Raw genomic sequence first — 26,004 nt, 5'->3', positions numbered from 1 at the left:
TGACCACTGTCTTGATAAACTCCACACACACAACAGAACAAAAAAGACACACACACACACATAGAGAGAGAGAAGGAAAGAACACATGCCATCACAATGCCATTACCTTGGGTCTACATTTGGGATACTCATGGTCACCTGGGAGCACCTTGAAAGAAATTGGTACTCGATCAGCTCTCCGATTTGCACAGAAGGCGTCCCAGACAGCTCGATGGACTGCATTATAAACTACATCCAGGCCCGTTAGAGTAACAAAGGCCATAGGCCGGCAACATAATTCCACAGGGAAGTCCCACTGTGTGGGGCTCATGTTTACGATGTCACAAAAAACCTGAAATACAAATGTTAATACATTCATAATTAATTTTTAAAAACTCATATTCATTTCTCCAGCCTGGGCAACAAGAGCAAAACTCTGTCTCAAAAAAAAAAAAAAAAAAACAACTCATATTCATTTCCAATATATGAATCTCTATTTAAAAATCATTACAAAAAAATAATCATTACAAGGCCAGGCATGGTGGCTCACGCATACAATCCCAACACTTTGGGAGGCCGAAGCAGGTGGATCACTGGAGGCCAGGAGTTAAAGACCAGCCTAGCCAACACAGTGAAACCTTGTCTCTACTAAAAATACAAAAAATTGGTTGGTCGTGGTGACTCACGCCTGTAATCCCAGCACTTTGGGAGGCCTAGGTGGGCAGATCACGAGGTCAGGAGATCGAGACCATCCTGGCTAACACGGTGAAACCCTGTCTCTACTAAATATCCAAAAAATTAGCCGGGCGTGGTGGTGGGCGCCTGTAGTCCCAGCTACTCAGGAGGCTGAGGCAGGAGAATGGCGTGAACCCGGGAGGTGGAGGTTGCAGTGAGCCAAGATGGCGCCACTGCACTCTAGCCTGGATGACAGAGGGAGACTCTGTCTCAAAAACAAAAAACAAAAAATTAGCTGGACATGGTGGCACACACCTGTAACCCCAACTACTTGGAGGCTGAGGCAGGAGAATCACTTGAACCCAGGAGGCGGAGGCTCCAGTGAGCCAAGATCACGGCACTCCACTCCAATCTGGGTGACAGAGTGAGACTCTGTCTCAAAAAAAATAAAATAAATAAAATAATCATTACAAAAAGGCAAAAGGCTTTGAGTATCTGCAAACTGTCAAACAAACAGAAGAGAGAAAAAGGGAAAACTTTAATTCCTGAATTAGATCTATTAAAATGTAATAACTATATGACATTTAAGAAAAAATCTTTCATGTTAAAAATGAAGTCAACTTTAAGACAAATCGGCATTTTCAGTAATGTCTCAAAATGCACACAGAACTTTGAAATTAGTAGACCAAGAAAGCAAGAAGGTGATAAAATTAAAATAGATCTACATGATCTATTTCAACTATAAAAGAAAAATATATTGAAAGAAAAATATAAAAGAAAAACAGTTGACTTACATATAATAAACTTCCCCTAATTTCTCTGTAATTGCTAATATTGAATTTCTGAATACCTAGGATATTATTAAAATAGCCTTTAATTTATGTAATTATCTAAATAGTAGCTATGTTGTCTCATTTCCCACAATATAAAATTTACTCTTTAAAGAAAAATCTGTAAGGGAAAAACTAACAATGAATGGAAACCTCTCGGAGGATGTTTCCACTGCGTCCTTTAGCTAAGAATCAGTCCATAATAAATCTAACGTATGCCCTGACTTTATAAGTATATAAAACTATGTTTATCCCGAACAAGACTGTCATTATATTTTTAATATAATCTTACTTGCAAAAGGATGTAACAACATGAGGTTCTTTTTTTTTTTTTTTTTTGAGACGGAGTATCACTCTGTCACCAGGCTGGAGTGCACTGGCCCAATATCAGCTCACTACAACCTCCACCTCCCGGGTTCAAGTGATTCCCCTGCCTCAGCCTCCCTAGTAGCTGGGACTACAGGCATGCACCACCACACCCAGCTAATTTTTTGTATTTTAGTGGACAGGGTTTCACCATGTTGGCCAGGATGGTCTTGATCTCGTGACCTCAGGCGATTGCCAGCCTTGGCCTCCCAAATGAGGTTCTTTTAAAAGATAATCTATACCAGCATATTACAGAGAATTCAGGTAAGGCACAAGTGGCTCATGCCTATAATCCCAGCACTTTTGGAGGACAAGGCCAGAGGATTGTTGAGGCCAGGAGTTCAAGACTGGCCTGGGAAACATAGTGAGATCCTGTCTCTAAAAGAAATAAAAAAGAAAATAGCCGGGCATGGTGGTGCTCACTTGTAGTCCCAGCCACTTGGGAGGCTGAGATGGGAGGATCACTTGAGTCTAGGTGTTTAAAGTTACAGTGAACTATGATTGTGCCACTGCACTCCAGCCTGGGTGACAGAGCAAGATTGTGCCACAAAAAAAAAAAAAAAAAAAAAAGTTATTCCAAACAAAATTATCACTACATTTTAAATATAATCTTATTTGAAAAAGAATGTGTCATGAGGCTCTTTTAAAAGGTAATCTGGCCGGGCGCGGTGGCTCACGCCTGTAATCCCAGCACTTTGGGAGGCCGAGGCGGGCGGATCACAAGGTCAGGAGATCGAGACCATCCTGGCTAACATGGTGAAACCCCGTCTCTACTAAAAACACAAAAAATTAGCCGAGTATGGTGGTGGGCGCCTGTAGTCCCAGCTACTCGGGAGGCTGAGGCAGGAGAATGGCGTGAACCCGGGAGGCGGAGCTTGCAGTGAGCGGAGATCGCGCCACTGCACTCCAGCCTGGGCGACAGAGCGAGGAGACTCCGTCTCAAAAAAAAAAAAAAAAAAAAAAAAAGGTAATCTACACCAGTATACCAGTATATTATGGAGAAGTCTAACACAATCTTTGTGAAAAGTGAGGCACACTTAGGCTAATACCTAATCCCCAAAACATGGAATATTTTCAACTGAAAGGTTAATTTAGGAAAGACTATTAGTCTTCTCATGTTTACATACTGAAAGAACAACAGGTATTCAATAAATGATTTGCAAAGCTTGCCAGAAATGTCTACAACAGATTGTTTTAGAATTGTTTAAATATTTTTAGGACAGGATTAAGTTATGAGGGCAAAGGATTGCATGTTCAGAGAAAGAAACAGTCTAGTTCTGGGTAATGTAGGAATGAAAATTAAAAAGGGGTGACCAGGCTGGGTACAGCGGCTCACGCCTGTAATCCCAGCACTTTGGGAGGCCAAGGCGGGCGATTCACGAGGTCAACGGTTCAAAACCAGCCTGGCCAATAGGGTGAAACCCCGTCTCTACTAAAAATACAAAAATTAGCCGGGCATGGTGATGCGTGCCTATAGTCCCAGCTACTCGGGAGGCTGAGGCAGGAGAATGGCTTGAACCCGGGAGGCGGAGATTTCAGTGAGCCGAGATCGCACCACTGCACTCCAGCCTGGGCAACAGAGCAAGACTCCGTCTCAACAACAACAACAAAAAACAAGTGACCAAAATACAATACGGGCCCCTTTGCTTAATATGAACGAGTCTAGACTAGAGGCCATTTCCTGTAATAACTCCAGAGGCCCAAAAGACATAGCTGTGGTCTTTAAATATGGAGTTGAAATAAGAGGAACTAAAAATGACTGTCATCCAATAGAAATACAAGTCACATAAATAAATTAAAAATTTCTAGCAGTCATATTAAAAAGTAAAACGTGGATGGAATTCATTTTAATATTCAATTTAACGCAGTACAGTATGTCCAAAATATTATCATACTGACAATAATATAAAAGTTATTAATGACATATTTTACCTTTTTTTGTACTGAGTCTTCAAAATCTGGTGTGTATTTCACACTCACAGCACATCTCAATTCAGACTAGCCTATTTCAAATGCCTGATGTAGCTACTGGCTACAGAACTGGACAGCAGAGATCTAAATTATGGGAAATGTGTCCCAAAATTGCTGCACGAAAATTGTATCAGAAAGTCTTGCCACATTCTCCTATGTCACCTGAAATGGTCGTGCTTATTCTGCAGCAAAGGAATTTGAATGAGAACCCCGATAACGCACAGGCGCAGATCGAATGGATTTCAATGACAGGCTGGAAGGAGAAATTTTCAGATATCCAATGGAGCAACCAACGAAACTATACACGAAAGGAGGCGCAGCTATAGAAGGTGAATAATGGATGGGAGATCAAGTAATGCAAGGGAAGTAAACTGGAAACTAGCGTGAAAGATAAGAAAGGTGACCCAATCAAATTGGCAACTAAAAAAACCCCAAAACCTAATGTGGTTACTTTTTTTTTCTTTTAACTAACTGGAAGTTCAGGGTGTTAGGACACAAGGCTGCTAAGAATGGGATTCAGAGATGTTCAACTACAAAACGAACAAAAGAGGAACGACAGTGTGGGGACGAAATGATGTTTCGATGTTAAAGATGAGAAGCAACAATCCAACGTAGGAGAAACACCGTCCCCATGGTCCCAGTATCTGTTCTGGTAGCTCCAGTGAGGAAAGGTAGAGAAATAACCTTGCAGTCCCTAAAGGCAGATATCTTCCTCCTCTTATTCCCCCGTCTTAAACCTGGGAGGCCCTAGAAACGGGTGCGTCTTTCCTCGGGTCTAAAAGAGAAGTGCCAGGATTGCACCCGTCGATGGGATTGCAAAACGCAGGCCCCCAAACCAGCATTGTTAAGAGCTAGCTCTCTTCCTCGGCGGTCCCGCCTGGCCCCGCGGGTCTCCGGGCCCGGACTCACCCAGGCCCCACGCCCCGGGCCCGCTGCAGCTGAGGCCGGTCGCCGCCAGCCGGGAGAAGACGAGGGGAGGCGGGGGGATGTCACAGAACGCCGTGGCCCGTCCCCACCGCCGCAGCCCCACAGCCAGTTCCAACAGGCGAGACTTCCCTGTACCCACCTCCCCCGGCACAGGAAGCACTTTCTGGGCCTGAGTGACCGCGCTCTACACCAATCGCTGTCCCGGAACTTTACGCCGCTCCTCCAAGCGTCAGGGAGACGCTGCACTTCCCAGGCCCCACCAGCCGCGGCTCCGGCTCGTAGCCCACAGCCCACTGCCGGCGGCTGGGCGCTGCCGAGGCTCGGGGCGCGCGCAGTTGGCGTCTGCCAGTGCCAAGACTGTGCCGCCCCCACAGCCGAGGCGCGAAAGGGGGACGCCCGGCCTCTGGGCCGCTGCCTTCGCTTTCTCTTCGTTGTTGCGAACGCCGTCCGCTCAGGAGGCGCCCCGCGACCGGCGCGATGAGTGCCAACGAGGACCAGGAGGTGAGCCCCCCGGCTCAGGGCCCTCTCCCAGCGCGGGCGCGGCGCGCAGCCCCGGGCCCCCGTGAGACCTGGTGCCCGGACAGCCTGCCCGGCACGTGCCCTGTGCCCTCGGAGCCGGCCGGGGTGCCCCGAGTTCACCGGCGTCCCACCCAAGCGCGCGTGAATGGCCAGGAGTCCGCCTCTGCCACTCTTCCCCCCTCATTTTTCATTTTTGCAAATCCGGGAGTCTCCCCTGGTTACTTAATAACAGGGATGAGCGTCCTTGGTGCACGATCCAGTGCTCTTGGCTCTCCTTGAATCCCATGTGTTCAGTGCCTGTTTACTGAGTTAGGCTGATCACCTTTAAATTTTAGTCTGGTCATCTTTAAATCTCTTGGCTAGTAGAGGGCTAATTGAGTTAGTTACATTTCTCATGGAAGAAAATGACACTGGTGGTGCATCTGAGTTTCTGTCCATATTGTTTGGGGAAATCTTTTACCCATCTGTCTGTTTTGAGCATTCATGTACCACCTGAATTTATGGTTTATGCTCAAATATTTCCTTGTGAGATGCCATTTTGACATTGAATCATATAATATTAGAGTTGGGGGGTGGGTGCTACGGGCCATCTGTAGGGGAACCTTCTAACTTTGATAGGTGGGTCGATGATAGCCGCAGGGCTGCACAGTAAGTACGTGGTAGAATCGGGACTAGAAACCAGGTCTTATTGGGTGGTAGATAAGTTCACTGTTAATTTAAAGTATAATGCTTGAAACTTACTACTTTTACATGATAAATGTAATAGAATCTCTGGATTGGAAGTTAACCTTTAAAGGACCCAAAGTCCAACAAGCTAGCTAGTTGATATCTGAATCTCTTCTAAAATATTCTTGCCGGGTGAATTTCTAAGTGAATGCGTTAATAGCTTCTTCTCCCTGCAAAGCAAAGAACATACAGTGTAATGTTTCTCAGAGTTGGACCATAGTCCCCTACCTTAGAACCATTTAGATGGTTGCTAGAAAACAGATGCGTGCACTCCACCCCAGACCTACTGAATCAGAATTTCTGTGGTGGGCCCAGGAATCTCCAGTTTAACAAGAAAATTTCATTCTTCTTTCAGATGACCGATGTTCTGATCTTTGAAGATAGTTTCCTGCCCAGTTTCTCAGACCTTCTCTGAGGAAGTGGTTCCTTTTAGCTTGTCTTCATATATCCATTCTTTGTTAATCTCTTCACTATCCTGGAATCACGTGTTTGTGGACAGATTTTAATTTTTTAAATGTCCTGTTTCAAAATTGTGGCATCTTGCTGTTTTGTCTAGTTAAATTTACTGTCAACTGAAATCTTTTAAGTGCTTTATACAAAGCAATTTGTCTTTCATCTTCAACTTCTACATTTAGGTATCTGAGTATTGATACAAGTTCTACTTACCCTGCTAAATTTCATCATTAGCTTGCTTTTCAAAGACTTTTTGGATTCTTATTCAGCCATCAGCATTATTCACTGTCCCAACAAATTGTCATCCACAAATTTAATAAACTTGCCTCCTATTTTTGTACCTGTCCAAGTCATAAATTAAAATATGGGAAAGGATTAGGGACAGAAGGAGTAGTACTATATCTTGAGTAAGGTTTTTGTTCCAATCTAATCTTAGTTATTCTTGAATCCGGCTTGAATTTCTGTATTTTGTTTTTTTTTGTTTTTTCTGTAAAGGTAGCAAGAGAAACCTGTGGAGCCTGGCTGAAATCTATATAGTCGGTGTTTTATGCCTTTCTTCATTGTGCCAATCAAGTTTCCCTATCTAAGAAGGGTATATCTTGTTTTTCATATACTTACTAGGTCTTAGGGTCTACTCCTTAATGTCCCAGTTCCTCACACACTGTTTCTTCAACAATGTCTTTTTGCTGTTGTTGTTGCTATTTTTGAGACGGAGCCTCGCTCTGTAGCCCAGGCTGGATTGCAGTGGCCCGATCTCGGCTCACTGCAACCTCCGCCTCCTGGGTTCAAGCGATTCTCTTGCCTCAGCCTCCTGAGTAGCTGGGACTACAGGCGCCCATCACCACACCTGGCTAATTTTTGTGTCTTTAGTAGAGATGGGGTTTCACCGTGTTGGCCAGGCTGACCTCGAACTCCTGACCTCAGGTGATCCGCCCGCCTCGGCCTCCCAAAGTGCTGGGATTACAGATGTGAGCCACCGCGCCCAGCCAATAATTTCTATTCTAAAATTTTGACTGTAGATCAAGCCCACTTTCACCATCTTTAGTTTGTAGAATTCATGACATGCATCTTTTTGAAAAACTTAAACGTGTACCCAAGTGCAGTCTTGCTTTACTTCTTTTCTCAGGTATTCATCGGTGATCACAGTGATGAACTTCTCAGTTGTAATACCAAAATGTTCTAAGAACTATGTCCAAGCAAGGATTACTAGTTACATTTTCTCTGACAGTCCTGTCTCATCTTGGGTAGATACTTGTCAGCCTTTTTCTTAAGTTCTTTTTCTTGCCCTTAGGTGTTTTTTAGAGCTTTGTATCACTGTGGGAAGGATTACATATAAAAGAAATGTATGTAAATAATGGGAAAGTATTGTTTTTCATAGTTCTTATCTTTAGGTTTAATGCTCTTTGCACCCAGGTTCGTCTTTAGCCAAGTTCTAAGAGCGCTTGCTCTGGAGTGGCTTTACAGGGAGACTTCCTTGCTTCCCTAGGAAGGAGAAAATAATAGGAGCCTCTTGACAGGGTTGATTTGAGAAGTCAGCGCGATCATACATTGTACAGTGCTTAGTAGTCCCTGACACAGAGTTTGAAAGTAAGTATCATTGGTAGTAATATTGTCATGTGTTGCTGCATGCACCTATGTGGTAAGTATCTAAGGTTATATAAGTTAGTCAAGCTTTTACATAGTTGAGTGGGCTTGAATGAGAAAGTAAAGACCCTCTATTTCTAATTCATTTATACCACTAAACAAAACTCATTCAGTTCTTTATTTCAGATGGAACTAGAAGCATTACGCTCTATTTATGAAGGAGATGAAAGTTTCCGGGAATTAAGTCCAGTTTCTTTTCAATATAGGGTAAGACATGGCATGAATAAGAGCACTTAGAACTTTTCTAGAAAAGACTGAAAGTGGCTAAAAATGCTTATTTTGTTTTTTAAACTTGTTTAAATTTATTATGTCTGTATTTTCTGTAGCATTTAAATGGAAACATCACCCTAACATCAGTCATTTTTAACGTTTGAAAACTTAATTCAGAAGCTTAAAAAACCAAGATAAACTTGTTTTTATTGTACCAGAATCATAAGATACTAGAAATGGAAAAAACCTTAAAAATTATTTAATCTTATCTTTAACATAAAATAGTAACAGTAGGGCTGGGCGCGGTGGCTCTCACCTGTAATCCCAGCACTTTGGGAGGCCAAGGTGGGCGGATCACGAGGTCAGGAGATCGAGACCATCCTGGCCAACATGGTGAAACCCCACTGTCTCTACTAAAAATACAAAAAATTAGCCGGGCATGGTGGCGGGCGCCTGTAGTCCCAGCTACTCGGGAGGCTGAGGCAGGAGAATGGCGTGAACCCGGGAGGCAGAGCTTGCAGTGAGCCGAGATCAAGCCACTGCGACAGAGCGAGACTCTGTCTCAAAAAAAAAATAGTAACAGTATTTTATTTTGTAAATAAGTCATATAAACCTTTTATTCAAATGATTATAAGTAGGCGGGGCACAGTGGCTCACACCTTTAATCCCAGAACTTTGAGAGGCCGAGGCAGGCGGATCACCTCAAGTCTGGAGTTCTAGACCAGCCTGGCCAACAAGGTGAAACCCTGTCTCTACTAAAAATACAAAAATTAGCCACGCATGATGGTGCATGCCTGTAGTCCCAGCTACTTGGGAGGCTGAGGCAGGAGAATCACTTGAACCCAGGAGGCGGAGGTTCCAGTGAGCAGAGATTGTGCCACTGCACTCCAGTCTGGGCGACAGAGCGGGACTCAAAAAAAAAAACAAAAAAAACACACAAATAATTATAAGTAGCGGAATGGGGAAGTTTTTTTTGTAAAAGATTTACAGTTATTATTAACATTGTCACAGTTTAAACTATTAGAAATGATTCTTATGCATGATCGATGGATGACCATCACAGAAAATAAGTTTCTGTTCTCAATTCCCTTTCAAGCTTAACAGTCCTTACACCATCTCCAAGTATGTAATAACCATGGACCTCAAATGTCCAAAGTTAACAGTGGAGCTAAGTCCTAGGCCCTTCGGTTTGAATCCAGTTGCTACTCTCTCCTTAGCAAATGGGAGGTCGAGAATTTCCCTATACTCTCCTAAATATCTCATTCACAATGGCAGTGATTTAGAGCATGTTGTGCAGAATGCCCTAGGACATTTATATGTACTATAAGATGGACACTGACGTGACCCATAGGATGGATTTAAGAAGAATGATACATGAGATTAGGAGACAGTGTGTTGATAGTCAAAGGGCCAGGGGTAAAGTTCTTCCTGTGGCCTGAGTCACACCCCTCAGTTCTTGCACGGAATAGTCTGGTAGCCTCCTAGTTGACTTCCCCGGTTTAATACTTTCTTTAGCTTCCCCCTTATACTCCACCATGAGTCCTCCAACAGTACTAGTTGGCACTCTGAAGCATTTAAGTTGTCATCCCATTCTCTTCTTTAAAAATGTTTTTCTCTGGGTTCCTCTTGCCTATAAAATGAGGACGAAATTTTTTCACTTGACACTCCAAATCCTTCTGTTTGTTTCTGTCTCCAAACTTTCCCCTCCACTCACATGCCTTAGACATAATGGGTTGTGACATTTCCCCCCGTGTATTTTTTTCTAGTACTATGCTTTTGCACACATTGTTTGATCTTTCTCTCACCTCAGGTCCATTATTCCCCTGCCTCTCCTTTAAGGCCTAACTCAGGCCTTCTCTGTGATACATTAATATTTGGGCCATGTCTCCTGTCTCTGCTCTGACTTTGAATCAGAATTAGCCGTTCCCCATTTCTTCATACTTTGTTTTGTTACTTTTGAACTATTATTCATATTGCAGTTTTGTAAGTTATATAAATATCTGTCTGAAGACAGGAATAGCCTTGTCTCTATCTTTGTATCTTCGGTACCCAGCACAGTGTGAGGCATGTGATAATTTATTCCTAAATGCGCCATGAGTAAGGACGTAGTGATTGCATCAAGCAGGTAACTTTTATCACTTTTTATCATCTATATTTAAACATAAACCAATGACATCTATTATGCAGATAATCCTTATCCAGGTCTATCAGTAGATCCCTACATTTATTTTAATAACAATACAGAGGAGATTAGCATAGCCCTGTGTAAGGATGAGATGTTGATTCATGTATCATTCCACCGTTTTACTAGAAGATCACCATTTTGCAACCACCAGTATGATAATTGATTCAGTTACAGTTAAGGACTGTTAATGAAGGCTAAAACCTTTGGGTGAAAGGTTGTTGAGAAACAAGGTATTCATACAGTTTTGTAGTGTTGCCCCACAGACGATGATGATTTTTTTTTTTTTAATAGAGACAGGGTCTTGCTGTGTTGCCCAGGCTGGTCTCTAACTCCTGGCCTCAAGTCATCCTCCCACCTCACCTTCTCAAAGAGCTGGGATTACAGACATGAGCCACCTCACCCAGCGAGATTATTCCTTAATTACAAAATGAAAAGGTTTGTGTTGAAGAGATCTGGAGAAGATCACCTAAACCATGTGATCAATCTTAGTGTCACCAGTGATGATTCTGGAAGATCTTCTGTGCCTCCTTATATGATGCTATGGGAAGATGCCACATCACCTCTGTAGTTTTCTTACCAAAAATGTTTAATTTGAATCAGTTCAGATCTGGGGACATTATACAAGAAAACTAGCCTGTATTCTTTTTGGCTTAAAAGGCAGGGGAAGCCAGTCACAGTGGCTCATGCCTATCTATAATCCCAGCACTTTGGGAGGCTGAGGCAGGAAGATCACTTGAGCTCAGGAGTTCGAGACCAGCCTGGGCAACATAGGAAGACCTTGTCTCTACAGAAAGTTTTTTAAAGTCTGGCATGGGGCACACGCCTGTAGCTCCAGCTACTTGAGTGGCTGAGGTGGGAGGATTTCTTTCTTTTTTTTTTTTTTTGAGATGGAGTCTTGCTCTGTTGCCAGGCTGTAGTGCAGTGGCACTATCTCGGCTCACTGCAACCTCTGCCTACCAGATTCAAGCGATTCTCCTGCCTCAGCCTCCTGAGCAGCTGGGACTACAGGCGCATGCCACCATGCCCAGCTAATTTTTGTATTTTTAGCAGAGATGGGGTTTCACCATGTTGGCCAGGATGGTCTCGATCTCTTGACCTCATGATCTACCCGCCTTGGCCTCCCAAAGTGCTGAGAGTACAGACATGAGCCACTGTGTCCAGCTGATTTCTTTTTTTATTTTATTTTTTTTTACTTTTGCCACAGACTCTTGCTCTGTCGCCCAGGCTGGAGTGCAATGGCACGATCTCAGCTCGCTGTGACCGCCCCGTGATCAGCTGGACCCCAGCCTGGGCAATGGAGTGAGACCCTGTCTCAAAAAAAAAAAAAAAAAGCCAGGGGAGAGGGCTGGGGACTGTTGTAAATTAAAGCAGAATAAAGAGGCATAACAACTCGTGCAGTCCATGATCCCTCAATGGATTATGGATTTGTGGGTTGAGGTGATGTCTATTAAAGGACACTTTAGATATGATTGGGTAGTTTTTAATATGGTTTATGTATTAGATAGCATTTTTGTACCAATGTTGAATTTCTTGGGTGTAATAATGATCTTGTGGTTATGAAGAAGATTGTCCTTTTCTTAAGATACTTTACTCACATATTGAGGAAATTTCATTACTGTTAGATGTTTAAGCAAAAACCAAAGGGGAAAAAAATCACATTGGGAGAGTAGGGGTTGATTCTATGGTGGAGAGGGGGAAAGATAAAGTAAATGAGGCAGAAAGTATTTGGTGAATAAGATGAATGTCAGAGTGTTCATTATACTATTTCAGTTTTTCTTTAAGATTAAAAATGTTTAAATAAAAAGTTAGCAGAGCGGAAGAAACAAGGGCGTCTTTATTCAGAAATTGTTAGCAGCTGAAGACATTCCTGTCCCTTATCCTTTGCCTTTTCCTTTTTTCTCTCAGTTTTAAATTTCATTTTCTTGACTCTTGGGGTTGTGCCTCCTAGGATTTAGCAGTTGGATAACTTAAAACAAAGATGAGGTGTGTCGAGTTTGTGAATTATTTTTGTCCATTCTCTTTCTGTATCCCACGGATAAGTTGATGTCTTATTTTCATCCTCGGAAAACACTAAAAAATACCTAAGATGTAGGCGTGGTACTAGAAAAGCTGGTAGGCTGGTTAGGGACAGGACATGGGCATAAACTGAACCTATGAAGCTATACTAGGACTAAATTAAAGTCAGACTGTCCTGAGACTCCCTTCACCCCTGCTCAGTCCTAGCCTGTGTCACTGGACTTTTCAAAATATTACATTTCTGATCTGAGCATGAGTATTGGAAAGAATTCACCCTTTTGAAGATTATAATTTAGTTTTCTGTCTTTTTATCACCTTTTACAAGCCTAAGATTTCCCCTTCTCTTCAGATAGGTGAAAATGGTGATCCCAAAGCCTTCTTAATAGAGATTTCCTGGACAGAAACATATCCCCAAACACCTCCAATTCTATCTATGAACGCTTTTTTTAACAACACCATGTGAGTAGTGTCTTGTTTTTACTGCTTTTCATTTCACTCTCTGTTATACTTTTCTCTCAGCAAGGTATTTTTGTTGTGCATTGTAGATCATCAGCTGTAAAGCAGAGTATATTAGCCAAGCTACAGGAAGCAGTAGAAGCTAATCTTGGAACCGCTATGACCTATACATTGTTTGAATATGCCAAAGACAATAAAGAGCAGTTCATGGAGAATCACAATCCCATCAATTCCGCAGTGAGTATGTGATTATTTTTTTGCCGGATTCTTTTGTTGTTTTGGTTTTGCTGTTAGCAATAAATTTGTACTACTTAATATATATTCAAAATCGGAAGAAGACTTGTTAAAGTGAGAGTTACACCTGAGTTAAATGAGAACAATGGATTTCAGATTTCTTCTATTTAACCTAGAAAATGATATTATATTCTCTAGATTTTTATCCTTTATCAAAGACTAGAATATATATAACATGCCCACCAAAACTGAGATATCATAGAACCTAGTATTTTTAATATTTGTTTAATCTCTCCATAAAGCTTAAACAGCTAAGGGATCTCTTATGCAGTGCTAAAATAAGTATGAAATTGCTTTCTGCATGAGGCTTGTTTCATTGTAAACAGTCTTGCCACAGTTCAATGTGTAGATGTTGCAGCATGTGGAAACTTTATTGAATAGAAAAAATTGTTTTATTATTATTTCTAGAATAGTTTTAGGAAATATTTCTTTCATGACGTTAAGCATCTGTGTATGAGGCCCCTTTGCACCACGTCATGCACTAAAAGACTTTGAGGGGTTCGGTATAATTTAGTGTTGTCTTGTGAACCAAGGGCTAAGCTGTTGGCAGCAAGGCCTGTCTTCTGTGCAAGTGGTTTTGGCTTTCACATTCCCAACAGGACACAGAACCCCAAGAGGCAACTGGAGGAGCAGTGGAGGGTGGTAGCTAAGATCATGGACTCTGGGCCAGACTGCCTGGGTTCACATCACTGCACCACTCACCAACTCTGTGACTTTCGGCAGGTTTCTTAATCTTTCTGTGCCCAGTTCCTCATCTGTCAAATGGGGGTTATATAGTATCTACCTTCTAAGATTGTGCTGAGGATCAAATGTGTGGTATATGGAAAACATTTGCAGCCATGCTTAGACCTAGTAAGCATTTTACATTTTAGCTATCATATACCCTGACTGCATTAACCCATGTGTCTTAAAATTTTTCTTCCGGGAACCAGGATGTTCTAGGTAGGCACACGTGATTTTTCTAAAGACGTGTTTAAATTGTCAAGTGTTCACATTGAGAAAAGCTCTGTAAAGAAAAAAAAAGGTTTTAATTAAATTTCCAAATAATAGCAAGTTAACTGAATTGTAAACCTACCTTGGAACCTCAGATCTTCAACATAAGGCTGATAATCAGATCTTCCTTCCCAGGATTTTGGTTATAACAATTGAACTAATATTACGTCCTTTGATCTGAACTTTTAAAAGAGTAAAACCAATAATGTGTTAAGGGCACTTGATTTTAAAAATGAATCATAATAATATAGGATTCTTTTATTTCATAAGTGTAAAAATTATCAACCCACTTCAGGATATAGCTGTATTTAGTGTAACACAAGTTGTAAGGTATGAGGCTGAGAATTATTTCTTTTTTTTTTTAGACATCGATAAGCAATATCATCTCAATTGAAACTCCTAATACAGCCCCATCAAGTAAGAAAAAAGACAAAAAAGAACAACTTTCAAAAGCCCAGAAGCGTAAGCTGGCAGACAAAACAGGTTTGTGTGTGTTTCTTTTCTTTTCTTTTCTTTTTTTTGACAGAGTCTCACTCTTGTTGCCCAGGCTGGAGTGCAGTGGCATGATCTCAGCTCACTGCAGCCTCCACCTCCCAGGCTCATGCGATTCTCCTGCCTCAGCCTCCCGAGTAGTTGGGATTATAGGCGCATGCCACCACACCTGGCTAATTTTTGTATTTTTAGTAGAGACGGGGTTTCACCATGTTGGCCAGGCTGGTCTCGAACTCCTGACCTCAGGTGATCCACCTGCCTCTGCCTCCCAAAGTGCTGGGATTACAGGCGTGAGCCACCACGCCCAGCCGTTTTTTTTTCTTTTATAACCCAGATAAATGGATTGCTTCTTAGTGTGATATGGTGGATATATTTAGATTAATTCTTACTCTTTCTTCTTGGAACATTTGGGCCAGTGAACTTTTGGGTCACTGACCTTTTGGGTCACATATGTATACTGAAAATATTTCGAGAGGCTGAGGCAGGAGAATTGCTTGAACCCAGGAGGCAGCCGTTGCAGCAAGCCGAGACTGTGCCACTGCACTTCAGCCTGGGCAACAACAGCAAAACTCTGTCTCAAAAAAAGAAAAAAAAAAGAAAATATTTACTACTACTTCATCACAAGAGGTCACCATTTGAAAAAAAAAGGTAACCGAGTGGCAAAGTAACTATAAATGAGTCTAGAGATTGAGGAGCATTTAAATAGTCTACAAAAACATGTTCTACCTGGAGCTCTAACATGTTTGGGATTTGTTTACCTCTTTAGTAGCTGTGTGTTATTAAAAATTTTTTGAAATACAGTTTTCATTTGAAATGGATACCAGTATACCATTAGGTCTTAGTGTGATAAGTAATTTAACATTTTTGCCTGTAGTTAATTATACAACAATAATATTTAAGAATAGAATTCTCATATGTTCTAAACAAGAGTTCTTTAGAAGAAGATAATAAACTCTAGCTCATATCAACAATAATATTTGATTGCTTTTCTTTATTTAACCTGAAAACTTGCAAATTGATAACAGTCTGTAAACTTTTTCACAGTTAGGGAAAATGAGGACGTCATTTGTGTACTTGCACATTTACACTTATGTATGTATCTATGCGTGTGCTACTATGTCAGGTTAAAAAGTTTCTCTTTATTGAGAAGAACCGACCCTTTTATTTTGGTGAGGGCCTTTTTTTTTTTTTTTCTTTTTTCTTTTGAGACGGAGTCTCGCTCTGTTGCCCAGGCTGGAGTGCAGTGGCGCGATCACTGCAACCTCCGCCTCCTGGGTTCAGGCAATTCTCCTGCCTCAGCCTCCCGAGTAGCTGAGACTACTGGCGCATGTCACTATGCCTGGCTAATTTTTGTTATTTTTTGTAGAGACAGGGTTTCACCATATTGGGCAGGCTGGTCTCGATCTCTTGACCTCGTGATCTGCCAGCCTCGGCCTCCCAAAGTGCTGGGATTACGGGCTTGAGCCACCGCATCCGGCCTGGTGAGGGCCTTTTAAATGTCCTTTCTTCTGTAATGGAATGGCAGTTTTTTTGTGGTTTATGTTTTGTTTAATGTCTGTCTGTGGCAAATAGCAACTCTGTGTTTGTTTCCAAAATACATTTTTGAAATGGTAATGGTTTGTGAAATAAAAAAATCTAAGAATTCATTCTACCTAATGTCAGAGCAGCATTAAACTCTAAAAACAACTGAAGCAGTAAGTTGTTAGCCATTACAGTTTGTTGTCTAGAATTTGGTTTATCTCTCTTTGAATATTGTAGCATCTATGTCAGTTAGGTAATATTGCTTTCATACATAATGACCTGTGATCACTCTATTTCATTAATAGCTCCCTACCTTCATCTCTTTGATGATGCCCACCTAAAGCCATTACCTTCCCATAATGACAGTATACGAGTTTGTGACTTGGAGCTTTCATTCTAAATAAAATTTTAATGGGACAGCCACGGCACTGTGGCTAAGTTTTAGTTAACCAAAATTGGTGATGTGCCCCCTATAACCAGTAACCAGGGGGATACGATTCTTCTTGGCATGAAAGAGAAAAGAACCGATAGCATCTAAAATTGAGCTCCAGTAATATTGCTTCTCTCCTGTAAGTATCATGGGTTAATTTCTTTTTCCCTAGCTGGAAAATTCATATAATGTACTTGTTTTGAGTTTAAATTTTTAAGGTTTCATAAAGTGGAGACATGCATGGCATACATCAAGCATAAAGGAAATCAAGCCATTTTAAATTGAAGAATTTTTAGATAATATTTGTTAAGCTATTCTTTAAATTTGAATATTCTGTTAAAATAATAAAAGCACTTTGCAGACTATGAATTATAAGCTAGTTTCCAAGCAATCCCAACAGATTAAAGCCCTTTTTAAAGAATGTTAGATTAAATAATGAATATGTTATCAGATCACAGCAACTAATACATAAGTTAGCCAGCCCTTCTTTTAGTCTTGAAGCCAGGCCAGACATATATTTGTGAGTCCTCCTGTCTTGAGCCTAGCTTCTGGGTGCGAAATGCTAATTTATTAAACAGAACAATACAACTTATTACTTAAATAAGCAATGACCTCTTATATAAAGCAGTAGCTTCATGCAAATGCATGAAACTAATAAATGGATTAACTGCTTTTCCTGGCATTACCAACCCATCTCTATATTTTTTCCTCATTATCAGGTTTTGTCTTGGATAGCAATATCATAAATGTAAAAAAGGAGTATACCTAAAATATTTTGCAAGTATTCCTAGGAGAACAGTATCGATTCATAATGATAAACTCTTTTTCCAACTTAGTAATATGTCATTTAAATTTTTAACCTATTTGTTGTGTACAGTAGTATATAAAATCTTAATTATTATAAAACTAGCTGGTTGGTCTTAGAAATAAAGTTACTATTTTTTATCTTCTAGATCACAAAGGAGAACTTCCTCGAGGCTGGAACTGGGTTGATGTTGTGAAGGTATATAACATTTATATTCTAGTCTTTAAACTTGTTACAATTATTACCAGCAAATAATGAAATTCTTATTTTTTGTTTTCCCCTTCACAACCTTTGGAATTCACTGGGATGTCTGTTTCCTTTTTTACATTCAGCATGTAAGTATTTTTGAAATACCTTTTACATTCTTCTTTTCCCTGCACTCTCAATTTTAGATCTTTTTTTTTTTTAAGTAATGGAAAATTTGCAGAAGTTAAAACTACAATATAGTATGACTATGTAAGCACATCTTAAGAATGCAGATACTTAGGGGACAGTGGCTCACACCTGTAATCCCAGCACTTTTGGAGGTCAAGGTGGTTGGATCACCTGAGGTCAGGAGTTCGAGACTAGCTTGGCCAACATGGTGAAACCCTGTCTATACTAAAAATACAAAAATGAGCTGGGCATGGTGGCGCACGCCTGTAGTCCCAACTACTCAGGAGGCTGAGGCACGAGAATTCGCTTGAACCCAGGAGGCGGAGGTTGCAGTAAGCTGAGATCGTGCCACTGCACTCCAGCCTGGGCGACAGAGTGAGACTCCATCTCAAAAAAACAGAAAAAGAAAAGAAAAGATAACGCAGATTCTTAAATATGACTCCAAGTTATCAACAATATATGGAAACTGAAGAAAACCAGATGTGGAAAAGAATGTTTTACTTTCTTAGTAGAAATTACTTTTAAGTTTTTGGTTTTTGTTTTTTGTTTTTGAGACAGGATCTTGCCCTGTCACCCAGGCTAGCTGGTGGCATAATCACAGCCCACTGCAGCCTTGGACCTCCCAGGCTTAAGTGATCCTCAGCCTCCTGACTAGCTGGGATCAAAGGCATGTGCCACCATGCCTGGCTAATTTTTTTTTTTTTTTTTTTTGCAGAGACAGATATGTTGCCCAGGCTGTTCTCGACCTCCTGGGCTTAGGTGATCCTGCTACCTCGGCCTCACAACGTGCTGGGATTGCCGGCGGCAGCCACCACACCTGGCCTTGGCTTTTGTGGGTTTTTTTAAGGACAGACCTTAAACGTGGTTGTTCATCATACCAAGAACAATGCTCTGTTTCTGTTTAAAATTGTTTGCTTTCATTTTGAATTTTGCTGCCTACATGTCTCAGATTTTTCTTGTATTAGCTGTAGTTTCAAATACGTTACACTAATATTTAACATAGTAAATTAATTCTCTTTGTAGGACTTCACGAAATAAATTTTGCATTCCATTTAGTGCCACAACTCCTGTGAGAAGTGTTTAATGGGATGCAAGGGTAGTTAAAGATTAGGATTTTAGTGAGGACCCACAAATACAGGTAATTTACAAGCAGTGTATTCTTAAACCTTTTTGGTTGTTGTTTTGGGTTTTTTGTTGTTGTTTTGTTTTTGAAGATGAGGTCTGTTTCTGTTGCCCAAGCTGGAGTGCAGTGGCGTGAACATGGCTCACTGTAGCCTTGACCTCCCCAGATTAAGCGATCCTCTCACCTCAGCATCCCAGGTAGCAGGGGCCACAGGCATGCACCACCACACTCAACTAATTTTTTTATTTTTACTAGAGACAGGGTCTCACTTTGTTGCCCAGGCTGCTGGTCCCGAACTCCTGGGCTCAAGTGATCCTCCCACCTTGGCCTCCCAAAGTACTGGGATTACAGGCATGAGCCACTGCTCAGGGCTATTTTCTTTTCTTTTCTTTTCTTTTCTTTTTTTTTTTGAAGCCGAGTCTCGCTCCGTCACCCAGGCTGGATCTCAGTGGCATGATCTCAGCTCACTGCACCCTCTGCTCCTGGGTTCAAGCAATTCTTGTGCCACAGCCTCCCAAGTAGCTAGGACTACAGGCATGCACCGCCACACCTGGCTAATTTTTGTATTTTTAATAGAGATGGGCTTTCGCCATGTAGACCAGGGTGGTCTCAAACTCCTGGCCTCAAGCGATCCCCCCTCACCTCTGCCTCCCAAAGTGTTGGTATTACAGGTGTGAGCCACAGTGCCCGGCCCTGGCCATTTTCTTAAACTTTATTTTAAAGCCAGCTGTTTGTTCCATTGAATGCATTTTCTATTGAAACTTTAAAATAATCTTAGTGCTGCTAGTAACTAGTACAAAAATATTTCCTGGGAGTTGGGCCCTAACTTACAATTGGAAGAGACACAGTATTTCTTCCTCCCCTGTGTAAGATACTGTATGAGTGAAGCCTCTCCGGCATTCTCTCATTTCCCAGGACTTTCTCCACTGATGCTTGATGGATACTTCATGTTGTCCTACATATACCAACATATAGCCTAACCAGCTAAATTCATTCTTTCCTCCAAATATGCTGTGCTCCAAAATGAGCAATTTTCTTAGTCAAAATGTTGCCTCTCTTAGTGCAGCTCTAAGCTGAAAGTGAGAAGAAAAAGAATCTGATCTAAAGGTGTTGATAGTGCTCCTCCTTCCCTAGCTCCAGAAGTTTTTAAGAGTCCCTGATAATAGAAATAAAATTCCAATTTGTAACAAAGAGTAAAATTCAAATTACCAGTAATCTTGGGAGATGAAAGAAGTTTTTTTTGTGGTTTTTGTTTGTTCGTTTGTTTTTGAGACGGAGTTTCGCACTTGTTGCCCAGGCTGGAGTGCAGTGGTGCGATCTTGGCTCACTGCAACCTCCACCTTCTGGGTTCAAGTGATTCTCCTGCCTCAGCCTCCCAAGTAGTTGGAATTACAGGCGCTTGCCACCACACCTGGCTAATTTTGGTATTTTTTAGTAGAGATGGGGTTTCACCATGTTGGCCAGGCTGGTCTCCAACTCCTGACCTCAGGTGATCCACCCGCCTTGGCCTCCCAAAGTGCTGGGATTACAGGCTTGAGCCACCATGCCCAGCCCGAAAGAAGATATTTTTAAGGAGGTTACCACCTAGACATAATTTGGTCTCTGAATCTATTATGCTAAGCCAGTAGTTTCCAGCTGTGGGCTTTGGACCCCTGGGATGTCCCTGAGACTCTCTCAGGGGGTACACAAGGTCAAAACTATTTGCATCGTAATAGTAAGATGATGTGTGCCCTTAAATGCTTTTTTTTTTTTTTTTTTTTTTTTTTTTTTTTGAGATAGAGTCTTGCTCTGTCACTCAGGCTGGAGTTCAGTGGCGCAATTTCAGGTCAGTGCAACCTCTGCCTCCCAGGTTCAAGCGATTCTTCTACCTCAGCCTGGGACTATGGGCATGCGCCACCACGCCTGGCTAATTTTTTTATTTTTAGTAGAGATGGGGTTTCACCATATTGGCCAGGCTGGTCACAAACTCCTGACCTCAAGTGATCCACCCACCTCAGCCTCCCAAAGTGCTGGGATTACAGGTGTGAGCCACCATGCCCGGCCTTAACCCGTTTTCTTTTTTTTTTTTTTTTAATTTTTATTTTATTTATTTATTTATTTATTTATTTATTTATTTATTTATTTATTTTTGAACGGAGTCTCGCTCTGTCACCCAGGCTGGAGTGCAGTCACACGATCTCGGCTCACTGCAATCTCCGCCTCCCGGGTTCACGCCATTCTCCTGCCTCAGCCTCCCAAGTAGCTGGGACTACAGGCACCCACCACCATGCCCGGGTAATTTTTTGTATTTTTTAGTAGAGACGGGGTTTCACCGTGTTAGCCAGGATGGTCTCAATCTCCTGACCTCGTGATCCACTCGCCTCAGCCTCCCAAAGTGCTGGGATTACAGGCGTGAGCCACCGCGCCCAGCCAACCCATTTTCTTATGAAACTTCTCTGGCGTTTTCCAGAGGCTGCATGACATTTGATGATGCCATCACTAATACTCTTAAAGCACTAAGAGAATGTGTGCTTGTATTTTCTTGTGTTTACCAGAATTTTCTCAATCAGTAGGTTGAGGATGTGCATATTAACCCAGGTTGTTCTTAGTACTTATACTGTGCTGTTGTTAGCTGTCTTCCATTATACCTGATTTACTGTTGAAGCATATTTGTGAGAAGCCAGCTGTCTTCCACTGAGCTAGATAATAAAGAGATTTGGGGTGGGGCGTGGTGGCTCACGCCTGTAATCCCAGCACTTTGGGAGGCCGAGGCGGGCGGATCACGAGGTCAGGAGATCGAGACCATCCTGGCTAACACGGTGAAACCCCGTCTCTACTAAAAATACAAAAAATTAGCCGGGCGTGGTAGCGGGCGCCTGTAGTCCCAGCTACTTGGGAGGCTGAGGCAGGAGAATGGCGTGAACCCGGGAGGCGGAGCTTGCAGTGAGCCGAGATCGCGCCACTGCACTCCAGCCTGGGCGACAGAGCGAGACTCTGTCTCAAAAAAAAAAAAAAAAAAAAAATTTTAAGAATGGAAAGAGGTCCTCAGGCCGAAATATTTGAGAACCAACACCTTTAGTAGTTTCTGCTTTTCATGGCTTCCCACACTCTCTAGTGTTCTTGGAGTTGTCAGGTGCGGTGGCCTTTCTCAGTAGTTGGAGCAGTAGTCTGATCAGAATCATCTTTGTATTTTATCTGCCTCCCCTTACCCCAAATTTGCCAACCCCTGCCAAAGATTTTTCTTAGAAAAAAATTGCAATGCAAAAATAAGACTTTTATCATATTTTCAAAACTATAAGAATTTATTGTCTGGTTAAGATGGTAAATCTTAGGTTACGTATTTTTTTATTTGACCACATTTAAAATTATTTTTTAAAAATTTTAAAAAGAATATGTGATGGAAAACAAGAACTTTTGAAGAGTGTCATTCATTTTATAGATGGTACCTTCTATTTGTATATTCTTGGTTCCAGTTTACTTCCTAGAAAGCTTCAAGAGTGTCCCGCTCACCCACCCACACACCACCTTGTTCTGTTGAGTTTAGATTTTTGTCAAGGTTACATTTTGAAACCCGTTTGAAGTAGCTGAGCTTGAAGTTGAAAAGTAGCTACATGTGGTAAAAACTGTAGGTGATTTAAGTTACTTAAGCCTCGTTGCCTATAGTTTAATTTTGATACTCCATGGAAATAGTGAACTCAGAAAATACCACTTGTTGACTATTTTCTCTCTTTTTTTTATAGTTAAGCAAAACTGGCTCTAAGGATGATGAGTAGCACTTGGAATTTGAGACAAGGAAAGAGCATTCTTTAAAGAGTAAAACTGGGTTCAAAATCTTTCATTACTATTTTCTGGTATTGAGGCGACTTTTTATAAAACACAATTTTTTGTATGTTTCTTACATTAAAAAGGTTGTAAGTTGAAAGTTCATGAAGAGATCTTGTTGTATTAAATTATTTTCACAAACTTGCCTTAATAAAAGGTGAAAATGTTACTGTTTAGTATACTTTATGAAGCCCCTTGAGCTTTATAAATGGACAGGCATGGGGAATAAGAATCAGTGTTAATTTAAATGATCTTATCCTGGTGGATGTGCTATTTTCTTAAAGGAGTATGAAGCCCTTTTCAAACTATCATCCCAGTGGAGCGGAGTACTCAGTGAACAGTTACTCCATAGTGCAATCCATATTAATAGGCTTCTTCTCTTAAGTCTTCATCTCTTCTTTTGCTTAATTACTGAACCGTAAATTACTTCAGAGAAATTTAAATGCTGGTATTTGAACTTTATACATGATACTTTTTGTAGTTTCTTTTAATTTTTGAAAGATGAACTGCTTCCTTTTAATAAATTAATATCTATTTATACTTTTCTCTTGATTTGGGTCAAGATGTTTGATCATGAGTGCTTTGAGTGGTATGTGGAATAGGAGAATATAAAAACAAATCTGCCAAATACACTAGAAAGCATTTTAGTAAGAAATGCTGGCCCTTTCTTAAAACATTTCTCTTGCATATACCAGGATGGGAGTAAAAGATGCCTTAATATTTAGTTTTTGTATTGTTGGAGACATTGATTTTAATAAAATCCTATTTATCTGCTGTTGTGTGCTTTTAGTTGTTGGATAACTGAGGTCTCCTAAATGGTTCAACATAAAACCACATTTCAAGTCTTGTTTCTTTTTGGAGTGTCTTTTCAAGTATTCAAATGTATTTCTCAACCTGAGCATCTTTTTAATCATATACATGGGAGTCTTTTAAATGCTGAACTGTTACACATGCTTGATTTAAAAATAATAATAATAGAGGAAACTATTGGTCTAGTTGTGCCAAGAAAAGTTTCTGATGTTTATGTGTGATGTACAGTGATTTTGTATATGCGCCCAGCTTTAAGAACACATAAAACTATTACGTCTGGTAGGAAGATTGTTAGTGCCTCAAGTTACACCTGTGCAGCTTGGGTCTGAGTTTTGATAGAACAGTAAACATTTAAAGAAGTTAAGAGCAGTTTGAGCTGTATCCGCGGTTTTTACTCGTTAACTGACTTCAGCTAAATAGTTTGAATTATAGAGTAAGTATAATTACAGCAAAGGAGTTAATCTCATTTTCAAAGCTGTTTCTCATTTTATTTCTTGAATTAATGTAGAGCAAAACATGTTAAAATTCAGGACCACTGGAATATGGCAACTTATGTTTCAGGGTTGTGTGTGGGTAGTATTTGTGGTTGTATTGGTTTGTTTTTTGTTTTTGGAGAAACATCTGCTAGTGGAATAAAATACTTTGTTTTGCTCTGAAGAGACTGAAATTGTTCAGGCTTATTATGGCTCATAGATTACAGAGAATGATGCTAGTTACATGCCAATGAACTATTTTTACTCTTTTTATATGAAATGTAAAAATTTGTAGGGGTTCTGGTGATGGTGGTACCTCTTATTACCTTATGTAAAACACTTGAACAGCCTCATCAATATTGCCGTCATCTGTTTAACACTCCCAGTATATTTTCTCAATGTCTGTTTACTTAAAATTTTGTGGAGTGACATAATTAATAAGCAATAAAGTCTGAATTATACACAGCGATTTTTCTACACATTTTATTTCAGATCACTTCAGAGAGAATTGTTGATTTTATAAATCTGCATGGCCTTATGGTGCAAGATGTACCCTCCTACTAGAAACTATTCAAAATGTTGGATTAAAAAATGTTTTTCAAATGAGCTCACAGGAGAAAAGGAATGCCTAGAGGCCAAAAAATTCAGTGAAAGTTGGAACCTAGAGGTTAAGGACAGCTTTAGTTTTCAGCTTCAAGGGCCCAGAAGACAAGAGATGAAGGCCAGGATCAGCCTAGGTTAGGGAGTCATACCCCCGACACATCTGTAAGACTGAGGCCCATCCTCCAGTGCGAGCCCTGAGGAAATTTCTGTCTTGGAACTGGTTCTGGATGGAAGAGTAAAATATAAGTATATACATATATATACACATATATAAGTATGGATACACACACACTCCTGACAGTTTGTGCCCCCAAGTTACCTCACACTTGGATTTCAGCCCAAATTCCTCCCCCTATGTATGATTTTAAAACAGACAAAACCTCAAGCCAATATCTTAGTTGAACCAAATCAGTAGGGGCTCTAGGTAACTGTTAGAAATGAACACACATCTCTGTTCTTTCAGAACTCAACTTGAACCCAGACCACCAGTGAGGTGCCCCATAAAGAGTTTATGGAATGTGTCCTCACAGTCAAAAATCACAATACATAAAAGCAAGGCATGAGAGCCTGCCCAAAAATCTTAGGGGAACAGGAGCCACAAGGGTATAGTGATACTCTACAGACTCAAAGTGTGTTTTAAATAAATAAACTGAATGGGGAACAAGACAATTATCAGAAGATTTGAAAACCAAAGAGAACTTCTTGAAATGAAAAAATTGAAATTGAATTTAAAGATGACAAATACACTTGCAGTGAACCTTGACAAATCTGATATGTTTAAATATCCTATGGAATGAAACGGGTACTGGCCGGCACTTTGGATTTTCTCTTTTTGATTGCAGCATTAGAATCATTCCACACCGTTTTGTCACAGGCCACAGCTTTTTTTTATTTGTTGCTTGATTCAAGCTTTCACCAAGCCCTGCTTGGTACTGTAGATGTGCCTAACCCTGGATCTTGGAATTTTTTCGGAGGGTTTTTCTTTTCTTTTTTTTTTTTTTTTTTTGTAGAGAGATAGGGTCTTGCTCTGTCACCCAGGCTGGAGTGCAGTGGCACGATCATAACTCACTGCAGCCTCCCCAGGACCTAGGCTCCCGAGTAACCAGGACTCCAGATTCCCAGAAGAGAGCAGTATTGAGGATTCGGCCAGTGTTTCCAGAGGGCTGGCTGTGATTGCTTTAACCATAAATTTGGCAGGGTGTGGTGGCTCACTCCTGTAATCACAGCACTTTGGGAGGCCGAGGCAGGCAGATCACTTGAGGCCAGGAGTTCAAGACCAGCCTGGCCAACATAGCAAAACCCCATCTCTACTAAAAATACAAAAAAA

At 41.0% G+C, this 26,004-nt stretch overlaps 2 protein-coding genes and 1 pseudogene across 9 annotated transcripts in view, besides 7 other annotated features; 2 read left to right on the top strand and 1 right to left on the bottom strand.

The window, feature by feature from the left end:
- TRAPPC11 (trafficking protein particle complex subunit 11) overlaps nt 1-4,885 on the bottom strand; it is a 54,297-nt gene extending 49,412 nt beyond the window's left edge. For 3 of the 5 annotated variants that reach the window (NM_021942.6, NM_199053.3, XM_047416069.1), the window contains exons 1-2: nt 4,731-4,885; nt 107-331 (exon numbers count right to left, since the gene is read on the bottom strand). In NM_021942.6, coding sequence (NP_068761.4) covers nt 107-310 — 204 coding nt within the window. In that variant the 5' untranslated portion in view covers nt 311-331; nt 4,731-4,885. Of the gene's footprint in view, nt 1-106; nt 332-3,782; nt 4,677-4,730 lie in introns of those variants that run through there. The other 2 variants (XM_024454180.2, XM_024454179.2) reach the window with 2 other exon arrangements.
- Nucleotides 4,210-4,997: an enhancer, noted in NCBI's record as "H3K27ac hESC enhancer chr4:184580334-184581121 (GRCh37/hg19 assembly coordinates)". NCBI's record gives its function as "activates a minimal SCP1, AML or CMV promoter by ChIP-STARR-seq in naive and primed H9 embryonic stem cells {active_cell/tissue: H9 hESC(naive and primed)}" and the evidence as "EXISTENCE:reporter gene assay evidence [ECO:0000049][PMID:30033119]".
- Nucleotides 4,574-4,863: a silencer, noted in NCBI's record as "silent region_15832". NCBI's record gives its function as "represses an Ori minimal core promoter by ATAC-STARR-seq in GM12878 lymphoblastoid cells {active_cell/tissue: GM12878}" and the evidence as "EXISTENCE:reporter gene assay evidence [ECO:0000049][PMID:35858748]".
- Nucleotides 4,954-5,083: an enhancer, noted in NCBI's record as "active region_22186". NCBI's record gives its function as "activates an Ori minimal core promoter by ATAC-STARR-seq in GM12878 lymphoblastoid cells {active_cell/tissue: GM12878}" and the evidence as "EXISTENCE:reporter gene assay evidence [ECO:0000049][PMID:35858748]".
- Nucleotides 4,954-5,786: a biological region, named in NCBI's record as "H3K27ac hESC enhancer GRCh37_chr4:184579545-184580333".
- Nucleotides 4,993-24,543, top strand: RWDD4 (RWD domain containing 4). Of its 4 annotated transcripts, none has more exons than NM_001307922.2 (8): nt 4,993-5,249; nt 8,217-8,297; nt 12,855-12,960; nt 13,047-13,194; nt 14,610-14,727; nt 17,641-17,690; nt 17,825-17,827; nt 22,710-24,543. In NM_001307922.2, the coding sequence occupies exons 3-8, from the start codon at nt 12,935-12,937 to the stop codon at nt 22,740-22,742; spliced, it is 378 nt and encodes a 125-aa protein (NP_001294851.1). In that variant the 5' UTR covers nt 4,993-5,249; nt 8,217-8,297; nt 12,855-12,934; the 3' UTR covers nt 22,743-24,543. The 4 variants fall into 4 exon arrangements, with proteins under 4 accessions (NP_001294851.1, NP_689895.2, XP_047305703.1 ...); NM_152682.4 differs by having other exon boundaries at nt 12,851-12,960; XM_047449747.1 differs by having other exon boundaries at nt 8,204-8,297; nt 12,851-12,960.
- Nucleotides 4,998-5,786: an enhancer, noted in NCBI's record as "H3K27ac hESC enhancer chr4:184579545-184580333 (GRCh37/hg19 assembly coordinates)". NCBI's record gives its function as "activates a minimal SCP1, AML or CMV promoter by ChIP-STARR-seq in naive and primed H9 embryonic stem cells {active_cell/tissue: H9 hESC(naive and primed)}" and the evidence as "EXISTENCE:reporter gene assay evidence [ECO:0000049][PMID:30033119]".
- Nucleotides 5,234-5,443: a silencer, noted in NCBI's record as "silent region_15831". NCBI's record gives its function as "represses an Ori minimal core promoter by ATAC-STARR-seq in GM12878 lymphoblastoid cells {active_cell/tissue: GM12878}" and the evidence as "EXISTENCE:reporter gene assay evidence [ECO:0000049][PMID:35858748]".
- Nucleotides 5,258-5,478: a silencer, noted in NCBI's record as "fragment chr4:184579853-184580073 (GRCh37/hg19 assembly coordinates)". NCBI's record gives its function as "represses an EF-1alpha promoter that drives an FKBP-Casp9 reporter gene in an ReSE screen in K562 erythroleukemia cells {active_cell/tissue: K562}" and the evidence as "EXISTENCE:reporter gene assay evidence [ECO:0000049][PMID:32094911]".
- On the top strand, nt 10,502-10,606 carry RNU6-479P (RNA, U6 small nuclear 479, pseudogene; annotated as a pseudogene).
- Nucleotides 24,544-26,004: the final 1,461 nt, after the last annotated feature.

Source organism: Homo sapiens, chromosome 4, assembly GCF_000001405.40.
Source record: "Homo sapiens chromosome 4, GRCh38.p14 Primary Assembly".
NCBI classification, from domain to species: domain Eukaryota; kingdom Metazoa; phylum Chordata; class Mammalia; order Primates; family Hominidae; genus Homo; species Homo sapiens.
Note: the sequence above shows the minus strand (reverse complement) of the source record. Positions and strands in the feature narration are given on the sequence as shown.

What these genes read in the sequence shown, in the direction of transcription:
- RWDD4 (NM_152682.4), top strand. Translation starts at nt 5,226, where the DNA reads ATGAGTGCCAACGAGGACCAGGAG. An exon ending in CAGTTTCTTTTCAATATAGG is followed by an intron (nt 8,298 to 12,850) that starts GTAAGACATGGC and finishes CCTTCTCTTCAG; the next exon opens with ATAGGTGAAAATGGTGATCC. An exon ending in GCTTTTTTTAACAACACCAT is followed by an intron (nt 12,961 to 13,046) that starts GTGAGTAGTGTC and finishes TGTGCATTGTAG; the next exon opens with ATCATCAGCTGTAAAGCAGA.